Raw genomic sequence first — 17,968 nt, 5'->3', positions numbered from 1 at the left:
GGGTCTCATGTCCCCTTGTACTTGGTCACAGGCGGCAGAGAAACGGTCTGAGAAGGAAAACCTGTGTCTTCTGATAGAAGAACTTGGTGGGATCGATAGAATTGAGGCTTTACAGCTGCATGAGAACCGTCAAATTGGCCAGTCGGCTTTGAACATCATCGAGAAGCACTTTGGTGAGGTAAGTGACTTAGGAGCGTGGAGGAGTATCCAGGGGTCTTGGTGGGGCAGCTCTGCAGAGGGTCACCCTGCCGGGGCCTGGGCTGTTGCGTGTGGCAGGTGACTGGGCAGGTGGTCTTCACTCCTGCCACATCCTCTGAAGTTAATGTGTCTCGCCTATCCCTGCTGTATCGGGTCATCTTTGAGTAGTGACATCTTGGTGCCTGGAAGCTATTCTAATTCCTTGGGAGCTTGTCTGGCTGCCTCTGGCTTAAAACTTCACTTTACTGGTCTCCTTTTTGGGAGAGGTATGGCAGGGGAGAGGATTTGATGCTGAAGTGACTTTTTTTTTTTTTTTTTTTTTTTTTTGAGATGGTTTCACTCTGTTGCCCAGGCTGGAGGACAGAGGCGCCATCTCAGCTCACTGCAACTTCTGCCTTCCAGATTCAGTTGATTCTTGAGCCTCATTGACCCGAGAAGCTGGGATTAGAGAGATGTACTACGACGCCCAGCTAATCTTTAGTAGAGACAGGGTTTCCCTGTGTTAGCCAGGCTGGTCTCAAACTCCTGGCCTCAAGTGATCCACCCGCCTTGGCGTAATCCCAAAGTGCTGGGATCACAGGCGTGAGCCACCACACCCGGCCCGTCTCCACAACAGTTTTTATCTTCCCAAACTGAAACTCCCTACCCGTTAACTACAAAGTCCCCAACACACCTTTCCCCTAGCCCTTTTAGTAACCATCATTTTGCTTTCTGTCTCTATGAATTTGACTATTCTAGGGACCTCATGAGTGGAATTGTACAGTATTTGTCCTTTTGTGACTGATATATTTCCTCTTGGCATACCATCTTCAAGATTCATCCGTGTTGTAGCATGTCAGGATTGCTTTCCTTTTTAAGGCTAACACTCCATTGAATGTATATGCTGCATTATATATATTCATTTACCTGTCAATCGACATGTGAGTTTCTTCTACCATTTTGCTATGGTGAATACACTGCTATGAACATGGGTGTGTAAGCCTGTTAGAGTCCCTGCTTCCAATTTTTTTTTGTTTGTAAAGACAGGGTCCTGCTCTGTCACCCAGGCTGGAAGGCAATGGCCGCAATGGTTGCTCACTGTAGCCTTGACTTCCCTGGGCTCAAGCAATCCTCCCACCTCAGGCTCCCAAGTAGCTGGGACTACAGGCATGCACCACCATGCCGGCAGCTAACTTTTGTATTTTTTTTGTAGAGATGGGGTTTCACCATGTTGCCTAGGTTGGTCTAAAACTCCTGAGCTCAAGCAAGCCACCCGTCTCGGCCTCCCAAAGTGCCGGAATTACAGGTCTGTGCCACCGCACCTGGCCCAATTCTTTGGAGTATATACCTAGAGTGGAATTGCTAGATTACGTGGTAATTCCATTTTGAATTTTTGAAGAACTACCACGCTCTTTTCCACAGTAGATATACCATTTCACATCCCTACCAACAATGCATGAGGATTCCAATTTCTCCACACCCTTGCCGACACTTGTTATTTTCTAGGTGTTTTGGTAATAGCTAATCTCATGGGTATAAAGTGGTATCTCATTGTGGTTTGATTTGCACTTATATCAGAAATTTTTCTTTTCTTTCTTTCTTTCTTTCTTTTTTTTTTTTTTTGAGACGTAGTCTCGCTCAGCTGCCCAGGCTGGAGTGCAGTGGCGCGATCTTGGCTCACTGCAACCTCCACCTCCTGGGTTCACGTCATTCTCCTGCCTCAGCCTCCCAAGTAGCTGGGATTACAGGCGCCCACCACCATGTCCGGCTAATTTTTTGTACTTTTAGTAGAGACGGGGTTTCACCGTGTTAGCCAGGATGGTCTTGATCTCCTGACCTCGTGATCCGCCTGCCTCGGGCCTCCCAAAGTGCTGGGATTACAGGCGTGAGCCACCACGCCCAGCAGAAATTTTTCATATGAGGAAGGCAACCTCACATTTATTTCATGACCAGATCAACATGGGGCTAGGAGTTTACAGAGTGACACTTCTCTTAGGTGTCAAAGGTGACTTACCAGCAAAATAAAGGACCATACAATCAATATGACCAGGTGGATGGTGTGGTTAGCTGGGGCAGTTAGTCTTGATTTGGGACCAAGATGATGCTCTCGGCTGGGAGCAGTGGTTCATGTCTGTAATCTCAGCACTTTGGGAGGCTGAGGCAGATGGATCACGAGGTTAGGAGTTCAAGACCAGCCTGGCCAACATGGCGAAACCCTGTCTCTACTAAAAATACAAAATTAGTTGGGTGTGGTGGTTTGTGCCCGTAATCCCAGCTACTCAGGAGGCTGAGGCAGGAGAATAGCTTGAACCCCAGAGCAGAGGTTGCAGTGAGCCAAGATGGTGCCACTGTATTCCAGCCTGGGCAACAGAGCAAAACTCCATCTCCAAAATAAATAATAAATAAATAAATAAATAAATAAATAAATAAATAAAGCTCTCAAGCCAGGTGTGGTAGCTCATGCCTATAATTGCAGCACTTTGGGAAGCTAAGACAGGTGGATTGCTTGAGTCCAGGAGCTCCGAGACCAGCCTGGGCAACACAGTGAGAGCCCATATCTACAAAAAATACAAAAATTAGCCAGGTGTAATGGCATGTGCCTGTAATCCCAGTTACTCGGGAGGCTACAGTGGGAGGATTGCTTGAGTTGTGATTGTGCCACTGCTCTCCAACCTGGGCAATAGCACGAGACTGTCTTAAAATAGAAAAAAAATGCTCTCAAAGGAGACCAGACCTAGAATGGTGATAATGGTGATAAGCATTTTCCAGGTTAATGGTTCCTATGAAAACCTCATAAATAAGAAGCTCAGCTGGGTGCAGTGGCTCACACCTGTAATCCCAGCACTTTGGGGGAGGCCAAGGCGGGTGGATCACCTGAGGTCAGGAGTTCGAGACCAGCCTGGCCAACATGGTGAAACTCCATCTCTACTAAAAATACAAAAATTAGCTGGGTGTGGTGACGGGTGCTCATAATCCCAGCTACTCAGGAGGCTGAGGCAGCAGAATCACTTGAACCCAGAAAGCAGAGGTTGTAGTGAGCTGCAATCATGCCACTGTACTCCAGCCTGGGCGACAGAGTAAGACTCCATCTCAAAAAAAAAAAATAATAAATAAGAGACCTCTTTTAAAGGGGGTTTGATCCCTGGGGCTTGATCCAAGAACTCCAGGGTAAAGATTTCTGGACTAGAAGTAGTAACTATACCTATCATTTGCTTACTCATTGTCAGGACGGTGTTCTATGTCTATCAAAACTGCATTTAAAAACAAGCTACTCACAAAAGGACAAATACAATGCGATTCCACTTAGATTTGGTACCTGCAGTCATCAAATCTGTAGAGACAAAGTAGAATGGTGGTTGCCAGGTGCTGGGTGGAGGAGGGAATGAGGAGTGATTAAATACAGTGATCCCAACGTTTTTGACACTAGGGACCAGTTTTTGTGAAAGACAAATTTTCCACAGGCTGGGGGGTGAGGGGATGGTTTCGGGATGATTCAAGAGCATTACATTTATTGTGCACTTTATATTACTACATGGTAATATATAATGAAATAATTATACAGCTCATCGTAATGCAGAATCAGTGGGAACCCTGAGATCTTTTCCTGCAACTAGACGATCCCATCTGGGGGTGATGGGAGACAGTTGACAGATCATCAGGCACTAGATTCTCATAAGGAGCATGCAGCCTGGTTCCCTGGCATGCGCAGTTCACAATAGGGTTTGTGCTGCTATGAGAATCTAATGCTGCTGCTGGTCTGACAGGGAGGCAGAGCTCAGGTGGGAATGCGAGTGATGGGGAGTGGCTGTAAATACAGATGAAGCTTCGCTTGCTGGCCTGCTGCTCACCTTCTGCTGTGTGGCCCAGTTCCTAATAGGCCACGGATGCGGGGTTGGGGACCCCTGATGCAATAGGTACAAAGCTTCAGTTGTGCAAGATGAAAAAGTTCTAGAGGTGGGTGGTGGTGATGGTTGCGCAACAATGCGAATGTACTTAATTGCTACTAAGCTACCTGCTTAAACATGGTTAAGAGGGTCAATTTTGTTACAAGGTGCATCTTGCCAAATGTGCAGTGATAATGTGCTGAGAATCCTGGAGGTATAACAGTGTCTATTCTCTCCTGAAGGAAGAAGATGAGAGCCAAACTTTACTGAGCCAAGTCATAGACCAAGATTATGAATTTATAGATTATGAATGCTTAGCAAAAAAATAGCCAAGCTCCCTACCTCCTAAACCAACAACCCAGTGCTAAAGGATAACTTCTTTAAGAAGCAGCAGTCCTCTATCTTAGTGTAACCCAAATGTGAAGCTTTTAAAACTTGACATTAATAAAATGTTCAACACTTTCACGTTTCTCTATCTGAACTTCAGATAAACGACTTGCATCTTAAAACCATGTGGAATTCATCTCCTAAGAACATTTGTTTAGGCTGGGTGTGGTGGCTCACACCTGTAATCCCAGCACTTTGGGAGGCCAAGGTGGGTGGATCACCTGAGGTCAGGAGTTTGAGACCAGCCTGGCCAACACAGTGAAACTCCGTCTCTATTAAAAATACAAAAAATTAGCCAGGCATGGTGACGCATGCCTGTAATTCCAGCTATTTGGGAGGCTGAGGCAGGAAAATTGCTTGAACCCAGGAGGGCGGAGGTTGCAGTGAACTGAGATGGAGCCATTGTACTCCAGCCTGGGCAACAAGAGTGAAACTCCTTCTCAAAAAAAATAATAAAAAATAAAGAACATTTGTTTAGTAATTGCCTTTTAAAAGGTCTTAAAGCAAAACCTTCAAGACAGAGTAGAATGGTCTTATAGTTATCCGGACAGACTTTTTCTTTTTCTTTTTTTTTTTTTTTTTTTTTTGAGATGGAGTTTCGGTCTTGTCACCCAGGCTGGAGTGCAGTGATGTGATCTAGGCTCACTGCAACCTCCGTCTCCCAGGTTCCAGTGATTTTCCTGCCTCTCCTGCCAAATAGCTGGGACTATAGGTGCCTGCCACCATGCTGGGCTAATTTCTGTATTTTTGGTAGAGACAGGGTTTCACCATGTTGACCAGGCTGGTCTCAAACTCATGACCTCAGGTGATCCACATGTCTCAGCCTCCTAAAGTGCTGGGATTACAGGCGTGAGCCAACATGCCTGGTCTCTACACAGACTTCGACTTGCAGATACAATATCATTGGTTCTTAGTGCTGCAGGGACAGTGTTACTGGCCTTCTTTCCTCTGGCAATTAATATCCTGACACTGACAAGATCTAAGATAATTTTCTCTAGAAACTCAATCTCTCTTATTCTTCCTAGAAAGAAAGAGAGTGCGTGTGTGTTTCTATATTTCAAGGCAGCACCACCACATGCAGCTAACCTTTTAAAGAATTCTGTAGAGATGGGGTCTTACTATGGTCAGGTTAGTCTTGAACTCCTGGCCTCAAATGGTCCTCCCACTTCAGCCTCCCAAAGTGCTGGGATTACAGACATAAGCAACCGCACCTGGCCTACATATTATTTTTGAACCATGACTTTCTTGTATACTTAATTTTTATAACTTAAATGAACTTTGATACAATGTACATATTTTACAGAGCTATAGATATTTAAAGCAAAGGAGGACCCATGCCTCTTCCACCCCATCCCCAGAGGCCAGAACTTTCTACTCTTTGGTCTGTTTATTCTAGTCTATGCTTTTGTAATTCTAAACATTATGCTCATGCTACATCTAAAGACGATGTTCGAATTTACAGAAGAGATAGCCATTTTTTTATACCTCCCTTTCTTCGCATCGTAGATATCTAATTTTTGTTAGCTTGATGTCCAGATTTTATCATAATGATGTAAATTATATTCAGAAGTGTGTTTTCCTTAGTATTAATCCACATCTTCACTCATATGCTTTGTTTTCCTTGGGTTTACCTCATATCAAATTCTTACAGCCTGTGTAAACCTCCTGCTGAATGTAATACGTCAGTAATCTACCAACATGCTTGTCATCCACACCCACTGGAGAGCTCTGTCATGCTCCAGCCTGGAATAGTTGTCCTCATCCTCTGGTACACGTCTATTGTCCTGGGATCGGCTTTTACCATCATTGTGGGGGCTCCACTCACTTTTCCTGGGTCAGTGTCCCTGTTTGCAGGATCTCACACCTGCCTGTGCTTGTTTTCCCCTTTATTTTAGGGACAAGGTCTTACTCTGTCGCCCAGGCTGGAGTGCAGTGGAACCATCACAGCTCAGCTCAGGGCAGCCTTGCTAAAGCAATCCTCCCGCCTCAGCCTCTTGAGTAGCTGGGTCTACAGATGTGTGCCACTATGCCCAGCTAATTGTTTAATTAATTTGGCTTTTAAAATTTTAATTAATTTGGCTTTGGGAAGCCAAGGCGAGAGGATTGCTTGAGCCAGGGAGTTGGAGGCTGCAGTGAGCTATGATGGTGCCACTGCACTCCAGCCTGGGCTATGAAGTGAGACCCCATCTCCAAAACAAACGATCGCATGAGGAGGTAGGCATGGGATCCAGGAAACAGGGAAGCTGACCTTGAATTCCTGGGATCAAGCGATCCTGCTGCCTTGGCTTCTCAAAGTGTTGGGATTACAGGCGTGAGCCACTGAGACCCACTGGCTTTTAATATGTATCTTCTGAGAGAAGGTGCATGGGAGGTTAAATTTCAGACACTGCTCATCCAAAAACATGTACTTTATTTTTTATTTTTATTTTTGAGACAGAGTCTTGCTCTGTTACCCAGACTGGAGTGCAGTGGCACGATCTTGGCTCACTGCAACCTCCACCTCCCGGGTTCAAGCGATTCTCCTGCCTCAGCCTCCCGAGTAGCTGGGATCACGGGCGCCCGCGAACACGCCCAGCTAATTTTTGTATTTTTTTTATTAGTAGAGACGGGGTTTCACCATGTTGAACAGGCTAGTCTTGAACTCCTGACCTCAGTGGGATTGCAGGTGTGAGCCACCGCACCTGGCCTTTGAAAACATGGACTTTGTTTTGACTCCTGGTTGACAATCCAGCTGCAGACAAGTGTTCTAGACTGGAAACTATGACCTTCAGAATGTTGCAAGCATCGATCATTATCTTCTAGTTTTCAGTGTTGGGTTCAAAGTCTTCTACTCTGATTGCCAATTATTTTGTGCATGACTCTCTTCCCCTGTCTCAACTCTACTGACTGAAATTTGTAGGTTGTGTCTCCAGTATTCTTAAATGTGCTGTCCTGAATAGAAACCTATTTTCTGTACATCCAAGTATCAGCCTTGCAGTCTAGAATTGTCCTTTTAATTTTTAAAAAACAGCTTGGAACAGTGGCTCACGCCTATAATTCCAGCACTTTGGGAGGCTGAGGTGGGAGGACCCCTTGAGTCCAGGAGTTTGAGACCAGCCTGGGCAACATAGCAAGACCCCATCTCTAAAAAGAAAAAGAAAAAAATAGAATTATCTCCCCTGCCACCACCATTTTTTTTTCCCACTGAAACGGATCCTCTCATTTTCTTGTCCCATTCTCTATTTTCCATCTTTATTTTTTACTTTCTGGGGTATTCTACTTTATCTCTTCTTCCAGGCTTTTCATTTCTGCAGTCACTTAATTCGAGACACTTTGTTTTCACAGGCTTCCCTTTTCAAGCCTCCTTCTTCATTAGCGCAAGATCCTATCTGTGCTATCGACCTAGCTTTGTTTATGCATTGATTCTTGGGGGGGTGTTTGTTGTTAGTTTGGTGTGCCTATGGCAAAGGCTTCCATCAGATGTCTGATGTCCTTGGATCTCTGCTTGTAATAGAAAGGTCCTCAGGCTGTGAGCGGGGCCTGTCATTGGTGGATATCTGCTGGGTGACCCCACAGAAACCTGGCCATTCCAACAAGTGATCCCAACGATCAGAGCTGCAGATTTTTTTTTGAGACAGTCTTGTTCTGTCACCCAGGCTGGAGTACAGTGGCACAATCTCTGCTCACTGCAACCTCCGCCTCCTGGGTTCAAGTGACTTCTCCTGCCTCAGCCTCCCAAGTAGCTGGGATTACAGGTACAAGCCACCATGCCCGGCTAATTTTTGTATTTTTAGTAGAGACAGGGTTTCACCATGTTGACCAGGATGGTCTTGAATCCCTGACCTGAAGTGATCCGCCCACCTCGGCCTCCCAAAGTGCTGGGATTACAGGCGTGAGCCACTGCGCCTGGCCCAGAGCTGCAGATCTTTTTTCATGGGCTGGTTAGTTTTCCTAAAGAGGAGTCCTTCAACCATTCATTTGTGAGACTTATGCTTCCCTCCTTCCATTCTCTGGGCAGGGCACAGGAACAAGGTCAGGTTATTTATCTATTTTTGAGATGGAATCATGCTCTGTCGCCCAGGCTGGAGTGCAGTGGTGCAATCTCAGCTCACTGCAACCTCCATTCCCAGGTTCAAGCGATTCTCCTGTCGGCCTCCTGAGTGGCTGAGATTACAGGCGTGCCCCACCATGCCTGGCTAATTTTTGTATTTTTAGTACAGATAGGGTTTCACCATGTTGGCCAGGCTGGTCTTGAACTCCTGACCTCAAGTGATCTGCCCACCTCGGCCTCCCAAAGTGTTGGGATTACAGGCGTGAGCCACTGTACCCAGCCAAGGTCAGGTTGTTCAGTAAGCAAAATACTCATTTTTCTCAGTTTTGCTCCCTCAGATGCTGTCCTCCCCAAGTCCAGAGTCCTTACACCTACCTTCTCAGGGACCTGCCAAGCTTTCAGCCTGGGGGCTAAAATTCCAATAAAATTGTTTCAGTTTACATTATTTTAAAAAATTATTTATTTGAGACAGGGAGTCTCTCTGTCGCCAGGCTGGAGTGAAGTGGCGCGATCTCAGCTCACTGCAACCGCCGCCTCCCGGGTAGCTAGGATTACAGGCGTGTGCCACCACGGCCAGGTAATTTTTGTATTTTTGGTAGAGATGGGGTTTCACCATGTTGGCCAGGATGGTCTCAATCTCTTGACCTTGTGATCCACCCACCTTGGCTTGGCCTCCAAAGTGCTGGGATTACAGGTGTGAGCCACCGTGGTTACATTAATGGAGAGTTCAGGATTGGAAGGAAACTAATGTCAAGGGCTAGATGTACTTTAAAGTTCTTTGAAGTGGGTGGCGGTGCCTCCATGTCAAAGGTAAGGAAACACAGCCGGGTGTAGTGGTGTGCACCTGTGGTCCCAGCTACTCAGGAGACCGAGGTGGAAGAATCGTTTGAGGCCAGGAGTTTGAGACCAGCCTAGGCATCATAGCAAGATCCCATCTCTACAAATTTAAAAAAATTAGCTGGATGGGGCAGTCCCTAGCTGCTTGGGAGCCTGAGGTGGGAGGATCACTTGAGCCCAGGAGGTTGAGGCAGCTGTGAGCCATGATCCTGCCACCACACCCCAGCCTGGGGGACAGAGCCAGACCCTATCTCTTAAAAAAGAAAAAATAAGGAAACAAGTCCCAAAGCGGTAAAGATGAACACCAAGTAAGAGCAGGGCCAGGATTTACCCTTCTGGTCTGGAAGCACATGTTTTGTGTATGTGGGAGGGGAGGGGGGTTTTGCTCTGTTGGGGATACTAACCCCCCTATTCCCACATCCCTCAGAGTGCTGGCTATGGCCACTTGTCTGAGAACCATCCAACAACATGGCAAAAATGCAGAATTCTTGCACTTCAAACAGACTCTGGGGGGTAGGACCTAAGTATCAATGTGTTTAACCAGCTTCCCAGGGGCATTTGAGAGGCAAATGCTAAAGCAGATGAAGTTCCTGCCCTCAAGAGGTTTAGATTCTAGTTAGGGAAACAGACAATAAACCAATGTAAGGTAAGTCAAGTTCCAGGAAGAAAAAGCAGGATAAGAAAACATGCCAAGAGTGTTGTTTTAGACTTGGTGCCAAGGCAGTGGTTCCCTTTTGGACACCACGGACTGGTTTTGTGGAAGGCAATTTTTCTACGGATAGAGGGGTGTGGGGGTGGGGGAATGGTTTGGGGATAATTCAAGCACATTCCACTTATTGTGTACTTTATTATCACATTGTAATGGATAATGAAACAATTCTATAACTCACCATCATGTAGAATCAGTGGGAGCCCTGAGCTTGTTTTCCTGCAACTAGGTGGTCCCATCTGGAGGTGATGGGAGATAGTGACAGATCATCAGGCATTAGATTCTCATAAGGAGGCCAGGCACAGTGGCTCATGACTGTAATCCTAGCACTTTGGGAGGCCAAGGTGGGCGGATCACCTGAGGTCAGGAATTCGAGACCAGCCTGGCCAACATGGTGAAACCCTGTCTCTACTAAAAATGCAAAAAAAAAAAAAAAAAAAAAAAAAAAAAAAAAAAAAAAGTTGGGTGTGATGGCATCAGCTTGTAGTCCCAGCTACTTAGGCTGAGGCAGGAGAATTGCTTGAACCCGGGAGGTGGAGGTTGCAGTGAGCCAAGGTTGCGCCAGTATACTCCAGCTTTTTTTGACCCTATCTGAAAAATTCTGAGGAGTATGCAGTCTAGATCCCTTGCATGTACAGTTCACAATAGGGTTCTCTCTCCTATGGGAATCTAATGCTGCCACTGATCTGACAGGAGGCGGAGCTCAGCTTCGCTCACCTGCTGCTCACCTCCTGCTGGGTGGCCCGGTTCCTATCAGGCTACGGACTGGTCTAGGGATTAGAGACTGCTGTGCTAAGGCAAGGCTGGCCCTGAAGGAGGTGAAGAAGGTAGTCTGGTAGATCTCCGGGAAAGGCATCCCAGGCAGAGGAGACAGTGGGGCCAGGGCACAGAGGTGGGAGCTGGCTCCAGGTGTGTGAACAGCAGGCTCCGTGGCTGGAGCGAGGTGGAGTTGGGGTATGAGAGGCTGAGGTTGGAGAGCGTCATATCAGGGAGCCTTGTAAGCTTAGATGCAGACTTTGAATTTTATTCTAAATATTATGGGAATCTCCCAAACACATGTGACATTTGGTCCCCTTCACTTTTCATATAACACCTGTGAATGCAGAACATTCTTCAGAAAAAGCTGTGTGGGCAGTGGTCAAAAGGGGAGTAACTAGACTGGGCATGGTGGCTTACGCCTGTAATCCCAGCACTTTGGGAGGTCGAGGTGGTGGATCACGAGGTCAGGAGTTTGAGACCAGCCTGGCCGACATGGTGAAACCTTGTCTCTACTAAAGATACAAAAAATTAGCTGGGCGTGGTGGCACATGCCTGTAATCCCAGCTACTTGGGAGGGTGAGGTAGGAGAATCACTTGAACCTGGGAGGCAGACCTTGCAGTCAGCCAAGATTATGCCATTGCACTCCAGCCTGGGCAACAGGGTGAAACTTCATCTCAAAAAAAATAAATAAAATAGAAAGGCCGGGCACGGTGGCTCACACCTGTAATCCCAGCAGTTTGGGAGCCTGAGGCAGGTGGATCACTTAAGGTCAGGAGCTCCAGACCAGCCTGGCCAACATGGTGAAACCCCATCTCTACTAAAAATACAAAAATTAGCTGAGCATGGTGGTGCACACCTGTAATCCCAGCTACTCAGGAGGCTAATGCTGGAAAATCACTTGAACGTGGGGGGCAGGGTTGCAGCAAGCCGGGATCACGTCACTGCACTGCAGCCTGGATGACGGAGACCATCTCAAAAAAAGTAACGAGGAAGGAAAGGACCTAGAAACATAGTAGGTGCTAGGCAGTGTGGTCATGGATAGGAGATGTTGAAAGAGGGATTAAACTGGGCATGCTGATGTGTACCTGTAATCCCAGTGTATTAGTCTGTTTTGGCATTGCTATAAATAAATACCTGAGTCTGGGTGGTTTATAAAGAAAAGATGTTTAATTGGCTCATGATTCTGTAGGCTGCACAGGAAGCATGGCTGGGAAGGCCTCAGGAAATTTTCAATCATGGCAGAAGGTGAAGGGGAGGCAGGCACGTCTTACATGGCCAGAGCAGAAGGAAGAGAGAGAAGGGGGAGGTGCTGCACACTTTTAAACAACCAGATCTCATGAGAACCCACTATGACAAGAACAGCAAGGGGGAAATCTGCCTCCATGATCCAATCACCTCCTACCAGGCCCCACCCCCAACGTTGGGGATTACTATTTGACATGAGATTTGGTCAGAGACACAAATCGAAACCCTATCACCCAGTTACCTGAGAAGCTGAAGCTGGAGGATCCCTTGAGCCCAGGAGTTCAAGTCCAGCCTGGACAACATAGCAAGACTCTGTCTCAAAGGGATTGGGCTTGATCTGTACAAGTTGAGTGTAGAGATTAAGCTAAATTTTGGCTCAGAAGTGTCACACCAAAACATCATGCCCAAAGCAGGTCTTTGGTGGCCTTTGATAAATGAAGAGAAACGGTGTTTGGGTGTTAGTCTAAAATACTGCTGGAAGACAGTTCACCTGCACCAACTTCTCATTTAGTGATGACAGCAAGTCTATGATTTAGTGGACATTGGGGCCTGCAATCAGTATCTTCATCTCCTTCTGCAGTGATTATCTGTCCACTGCTGAGAGCTATGCTGAGGGTGGGGTGCTCCTCGAGGGGCTGTGCCATCCCATATGGAGATGGGGGCAACTGGGAGACTCTGTACCCTCTTTCCTCCTCAGCTCAGGATGCCCTAGGTGGCAGATCTTTGGCCAAGCATACTCTTTCTCTGAGCCTTTTTTTTTTTTTTTAAAAAGGCAAGGCCTCGCTCTGTCGCCCAAGCTGGAGTGCAGTGGCTGTGAGTAGGGCCTGTCATTGGTAGACATCTGCTAGGTGACTGCACAGGAACCCGGCCATTCCAACAAGTGATCCCAATGATCAGAGCTGCAGATTTTATTTTATTTTTATTTTTTGAGACAAAGTCGTGTTCTGTCGCCCAGGCTGGAGTGCAGTGGCATGATCTCGGCTCACTGCAACCTCTGCCTCCTAGGCTCAAGTGATCCTCCTGCCTCAGCCTCCTGAGTAGCTGGGATTACAGGCACATGCCACCATGCTCGGCCTCCCTAGTAGCTGGGACTACAGGCGGGTACTGCCATACCCGGCTACTTTTTGTATTTTTAGCAGACGGGGTTTTGCCATGTTGACCAGGCTGGTCTCAAAACTTCTGACCTCAGGTGATCCTCCTGCCTCGGCCTCCCAAAGTGCTGGGATTACAGGCGTGAGCCACCACACCCGGTCTGAGACTTTGAATCTTAAACCCAGGGGCTGGGGACAGAAGAAATAGCTCATGTGTCTTTGATGACTCCAGTGGCAAGCCCTGCTGTGGATGTTTCCAGTGGCTACCTGCATCCTGCCTCTCCAGGCCTCCTTTTTGGTCTTAGGTGCTCTCCCATACTCTTTCGAGAAATTTTTTTTTTTTTTAAATTCTTTAAGTTTTAGGGTACATGTGCACAATGTGCAGGTTAGTTACATATGTATACATGTGCCATGGTGTGCTGCACCCATTAACTCGTCATTTACATTAGGTATACCTCCTAATGCTATCCCTCCCCCTACCCCTACCCCACAACAGTCCCCGGAGTGTGATGTTCCCCTTCCTGTGTCCATGTGTTCTCATTGTTCAATTCCCACCTATGAGTGAGAACATGAGGTGTTTGGTTTTTTGTCCTTGCCATAGTTTGCTGAGAATGATGGTTTCTAGTTTCATCCATGTCCCTACAAAGGACATGAACTCTTCATTTTTTATGGCTGCATAGTATTCCATGGTGTATATGTGCCACATTTTCTTAATCCAGTCTATCATTGTTGGACATTTGGGTTGGTTCCAAGTCTTTGCTATTGTGAATAGTGCCGCAATAAACATACATGTGCATGTGTCTTTATAGCAGCATGATTTATAATCCTTTGGGTATATACCCAGTAATGGGATGGCTGGGTCAAATGGTATTTCCAGTTCTAGATCCCTGAGGAATCACCACACTGACTTCCACAATGGTTGAACTAGTTTACAGTACCACCAACAGTGTAAAAGTGTTCCTATTTCTCCACATCCTCTCTAGCACCTATTGTTTCCTGACTTTTTAATGATCACCATTCTAACTGGTGTGAGATGGTATCTCATTGTGGTTTTGATTTGCATTTTCGAGAAATTCTTTTTAAGTAGCCAGAGTAGGTTCCTGTTGCTTGAGACTGAGGGATCTTAAGTGATGCCCATGAGGAGTAGAAAATGATACCGTAACTCGAGACATTATTTAAATCCAAAAGATTAAGTCCCATTCTGTCAAAATAGAGACAGTATATAACATTTGAATTTTTACATTAAATAATGTTAAATAGGTAATATTTGTTATATATAAAATACACACTAGGCCAGGCGTGGTGGCTTATACCTATAATCCCAGCACTTTGGGAGGCTGAGGTGGGAGAATCACTTGAGGCCATGAGTTCAAGACCAGCCTGGGCAACACAGCATGACTCCATCTCTATAAAAATAAAAAATTAGCTGGGCATGGTAGTGAGGATCTGTAGCCCCAGCTACTCAGGAGGCTGAGGTAGAAGGGCCACTTGAACCCAGGAGTTCAAGGTTACAGTGAGCTACAATTGCACCACTGCACTCCAGCCTGGGCAACAAAGTGAGACCCTGTCTCAAAAAAAAAAAAAAAAAAAAAAATATATATATATATATATATATATACACACACTCATATTTATAGTGCATATATAAAATATGTATATTATATATAAATATATTACAAATTTAATATATTTGTAATTGAAAAAACATATTGAAAAAATGGTCCTATGACTTCAATACAATAATTTTTGTTTGCATTTCTTTTCTAGGTTGAATTTACATACACTTTTTTTTTTCTGAGGCAGAGTTTTGCTCTTGCTGCCCAGGCTGGAGTGCAGTCACGCAGTCTCGGCTCACTGCAACCTCCGCCTCCCAGGTTCAAGTGATCCTCCTGCCTCAGCTTCCCGAGTAGCTGGGATTATAGGAGTGTGCCACCACATCCAGCTAATTTTTGTATTTTTAGTAGAGCTAGGGTTTCTCCATGTTGATCAGGCTGGTCTTGAACTCCCGACCTCAGTTGATCTGCCTGTGTCAGCCTCCCAAAGTGTTGGGATTACAGGCGTGAGCTACCGTGTCCAGCCTTACATATACTTTTTTTCAAAGAATCTGATTGGAATACAGATTCTTTTTCAACATCTTAAAGCATTTTTCCCCCTATTCGTAGATTGTAGTTGAAGGGAGGTGGAAAGGTGAGATGGTTTACAAAGATAGGTCTTTGAGAAAAAATTTTTTTAATTAAAAGAGCTGGAAGCCCTGTTGAGCTTAGTCACTGTTGTCCGAGTGATCTAACCTTGTTGGCTCAAAATACTGTCAACCTCTTTTTTTCCTTCTCTTTGCATGACAAAGCAGCCTTTGTAGTTTGAAGATACTAATACTGACTTGCCTAGCAAGGTTTAAAAAAAGGAGCAATTTGCCTTTGGTATATGGTCTGGGTGCAAAGAGATGGTGTTAGTCACCTTCTGGCTGGGTGCCCACCTGCTTAGACTCGGGGAGTTGGGACGACTGGTGAGGCAACAAAGAGGAAGGAAGGTGTGAATGGCTATAGGTTGGTTTACGGTGTGAACACTGAACTGGAACAACTTTGACCTTTTGCATTTGCCCAGAAATTGTAATGTACCTCAAAGAATGCAATTCTCAGCTGGGCATGGTGGCTCATGCCTGTAATCCCAGCACTTTGGGAGGCCAAGGCAGGTAGATCACCTGAGGTCAGGAGTTCAAGACCAGCCTGGCCAACATAGTGAGACCCTGTCTCTGCTAAAAATACAAAATTAGCTGGGTATGGTGGCACATGCCTGTAATCCCAGTTACTCGGGAGGCAAGGTTGGAGAATCACTTGAACCCAGGAGGTGGAGGTTGTAGTGAGCTGAGATTGCACCACTGCACTCCAGCCTGGGCAACAAGAGCAAAACTCAATCTCAAAAAAAAAAAAAAAAAAAAAAAAATTGCAATCTTGGTTAGCCATGCACACTGCGTAACTTATCTGCTGTTTTTTCCTGAAACATGGACTGTGTTAATGATAATGGCATGCATTATAAGGCAGCACAGTTTGCTTTAAGGCATAAAAGAATAACTTGGAGCCATGAGCCCTGGGGTCAGTTCTACTCTTTTTCTAAATAGCCTAAGCCTGGACATGTCATGTAATTTCACTGTTAAGTGCCTCATTTGTGGATTCTTTTCTGTCAATTCCTTTGGGCTTCAGTTTTTTTCATCTGTAAAAGAAGGGGTTCAAGTGTCAAACAAGGCGATGCAAAAATGGTTATCCTCAATTTCCAAGTAAACTGGAGCTCATAAGGTTAGCCAACTTGCCCTTCATCTTTCAGTAAGTGGCAGACAGGGAATCACTAATAACTAATTCAAAGCCTCATGAATTAGTTACTTGCTATATAACAAATTTCCCAGAAACTTAACAGCTTAAAAAAATTATTATACAGAGTTTCTGTAAGGCAAGAATCTGGGGGACAATTTAGATGGTTCTGGCTCTCAAGGTCTTTTATGAGGTTGGACTTAAGCTGTCAGCCAGAATTGTGGTCTCATTTGAAGACTCAACTGGGAGAGGACCTACTTACAATGGTAGTATGTGGTAGTTAGAGGGTTTCAGTTCTTCAGTGGCTGATGGCTGGATATTTCAGTTCTACGCTACACAGGCTTTCCCTTGGGCTTCCTGAATCTCCAATAACAGGGAAGTTTGCTTCTCCCAGAGCAAGTGATCAGAGAGAGAGAGAGAGAGAGAGAGAGAGAGAGAGAGAGAGAGAGAGAGTTTGTGTACATGGGAGACAGAATCCCCAAGACAGAAGCCATGGTCCTTTATAACCTAATCTTAGAAGGCATGGTGGCTCACGCCTGTAATCCCAGAACTTTGAGAGGCTGAGGTGAGCACGTCACTTGAGGTTAGGAGCTCGAGACCAACCTGGTAAACATGGTGAAACCCTGTCTTTACTAAAATATACGAAAATAAGCCAGGTGTGGTGGCACATGCCTGTAGTCCCAGCTACTCGGGAGGCTGAGGCAGGAGGATAGCTTGAACCTGGGAGGTTGCAGTGAGCTGACATCATGTGACTGCACTCCAGTCTGGGTGACAGAGAAAGACTCTGTCTCAAAAAAAAAAGGTGGCATACAATCACTCTGCTATACGATAACCTTGTAGGATGTGGGAGGAGCTATGCAGAGGTGTGAAGACCAGAAGACAGAGGTCATTGGGAACCATCTTGGAGGCTGGCTTCCCTACTCATCCACTCCACCCTGGAGTGGATCATTTGTTCTCATTTGAAAAGACATCATTTAAATGATAACCTAGGGCCACTGAAGTCTCAGCAAAGAAATAGAAGAGAATCAAATGTAAGTGTTAGAACTGACAAATACTATAACTGGAATTTAAAATTTACTGGATGATGGCTGGGTGCAGTGACTCAAACCTGAATCCCAGCACTTTGGGAGGCCAAGGCAGGAGGATTGCTTGAGCCTAGGAGTTCAAAACCCACCTGGGCAACATAGCGAGACCCTGTCCCTAAAATAAATAAAATTTACTGGATGGGCTTAACAGCAGAATGGAGGAGACAGGAAAGAATCCATGAAGTTGAATATAAAACAATAGGAAGCTGCAATTAAACCCCTAGATGCAACTACCAATTTATAAGAAATACAAAAGACAGAGGAGAGGCCGGGTGCGTGGCTCACGCCTGTAATCCCAGCACTTTGGGAGGCCGAGGCGGGCGGATCACGAGGTCAGGAGATTGAGACCATCCTGGCTAACACGGTGAAACCCCGTCTCTACTAAAAATACAAAAAAAATTAGCCTAGCATGGTGGCGGGCACCTGTAGTCCCAGCTACTCAGGAGGCTGAGGCAGGAGAA

The 17,968-nt window shown here is 45.8% G+C and overlaps 1 protein-coding gene across 11 annotated transcripts in view; it reads left to right on the top strand.

Moving 5' to 3' along the window:
• The window catches only part of KPNA7 (karyopherin subunit alpha 7), a 73,616-nt gene that overhangs the window by 41,322 nt on the left and 14,326 nt on the right, over positions 1-17,968 (top strand). For 8 of the 11 annotated variants that reach the window (XM_017012213.2, XM_017012209.2, XM_017012215.2 and 5 more), the window contains one exon: positions 32-1,256. In XM_017012213.2, the coding sequence (XP_016867702.1) occupies positions 32-280 (249 nt within the window). In that variant the 3' untranslated portion in view covers positions 281-1,256. Of the gene's footprint in view, positions 1-31; positions 1,257-4,303; positions 4,527-17,968 lie in introns of those variants that run through there. The other 3 variants (XM_011516215.3, NM_001145715.3, XM_017012211.2) reach the window with 2 other exon arrangements.

This window comes from Homo sapiens, chromosome 7, assembly GCF_000001405.40.
Source record: "Homo sapiens chromosome 7, GRCh38.p14 Primary Assembly".
NCBI lineage: Eukaryota > Metazoa > Chordata > Mammalia > Primates > Hominidae > Homo > Homo sapiens.
This window is presented reverse-complemented; position numbering and strand designations above follow the sequence as displayed.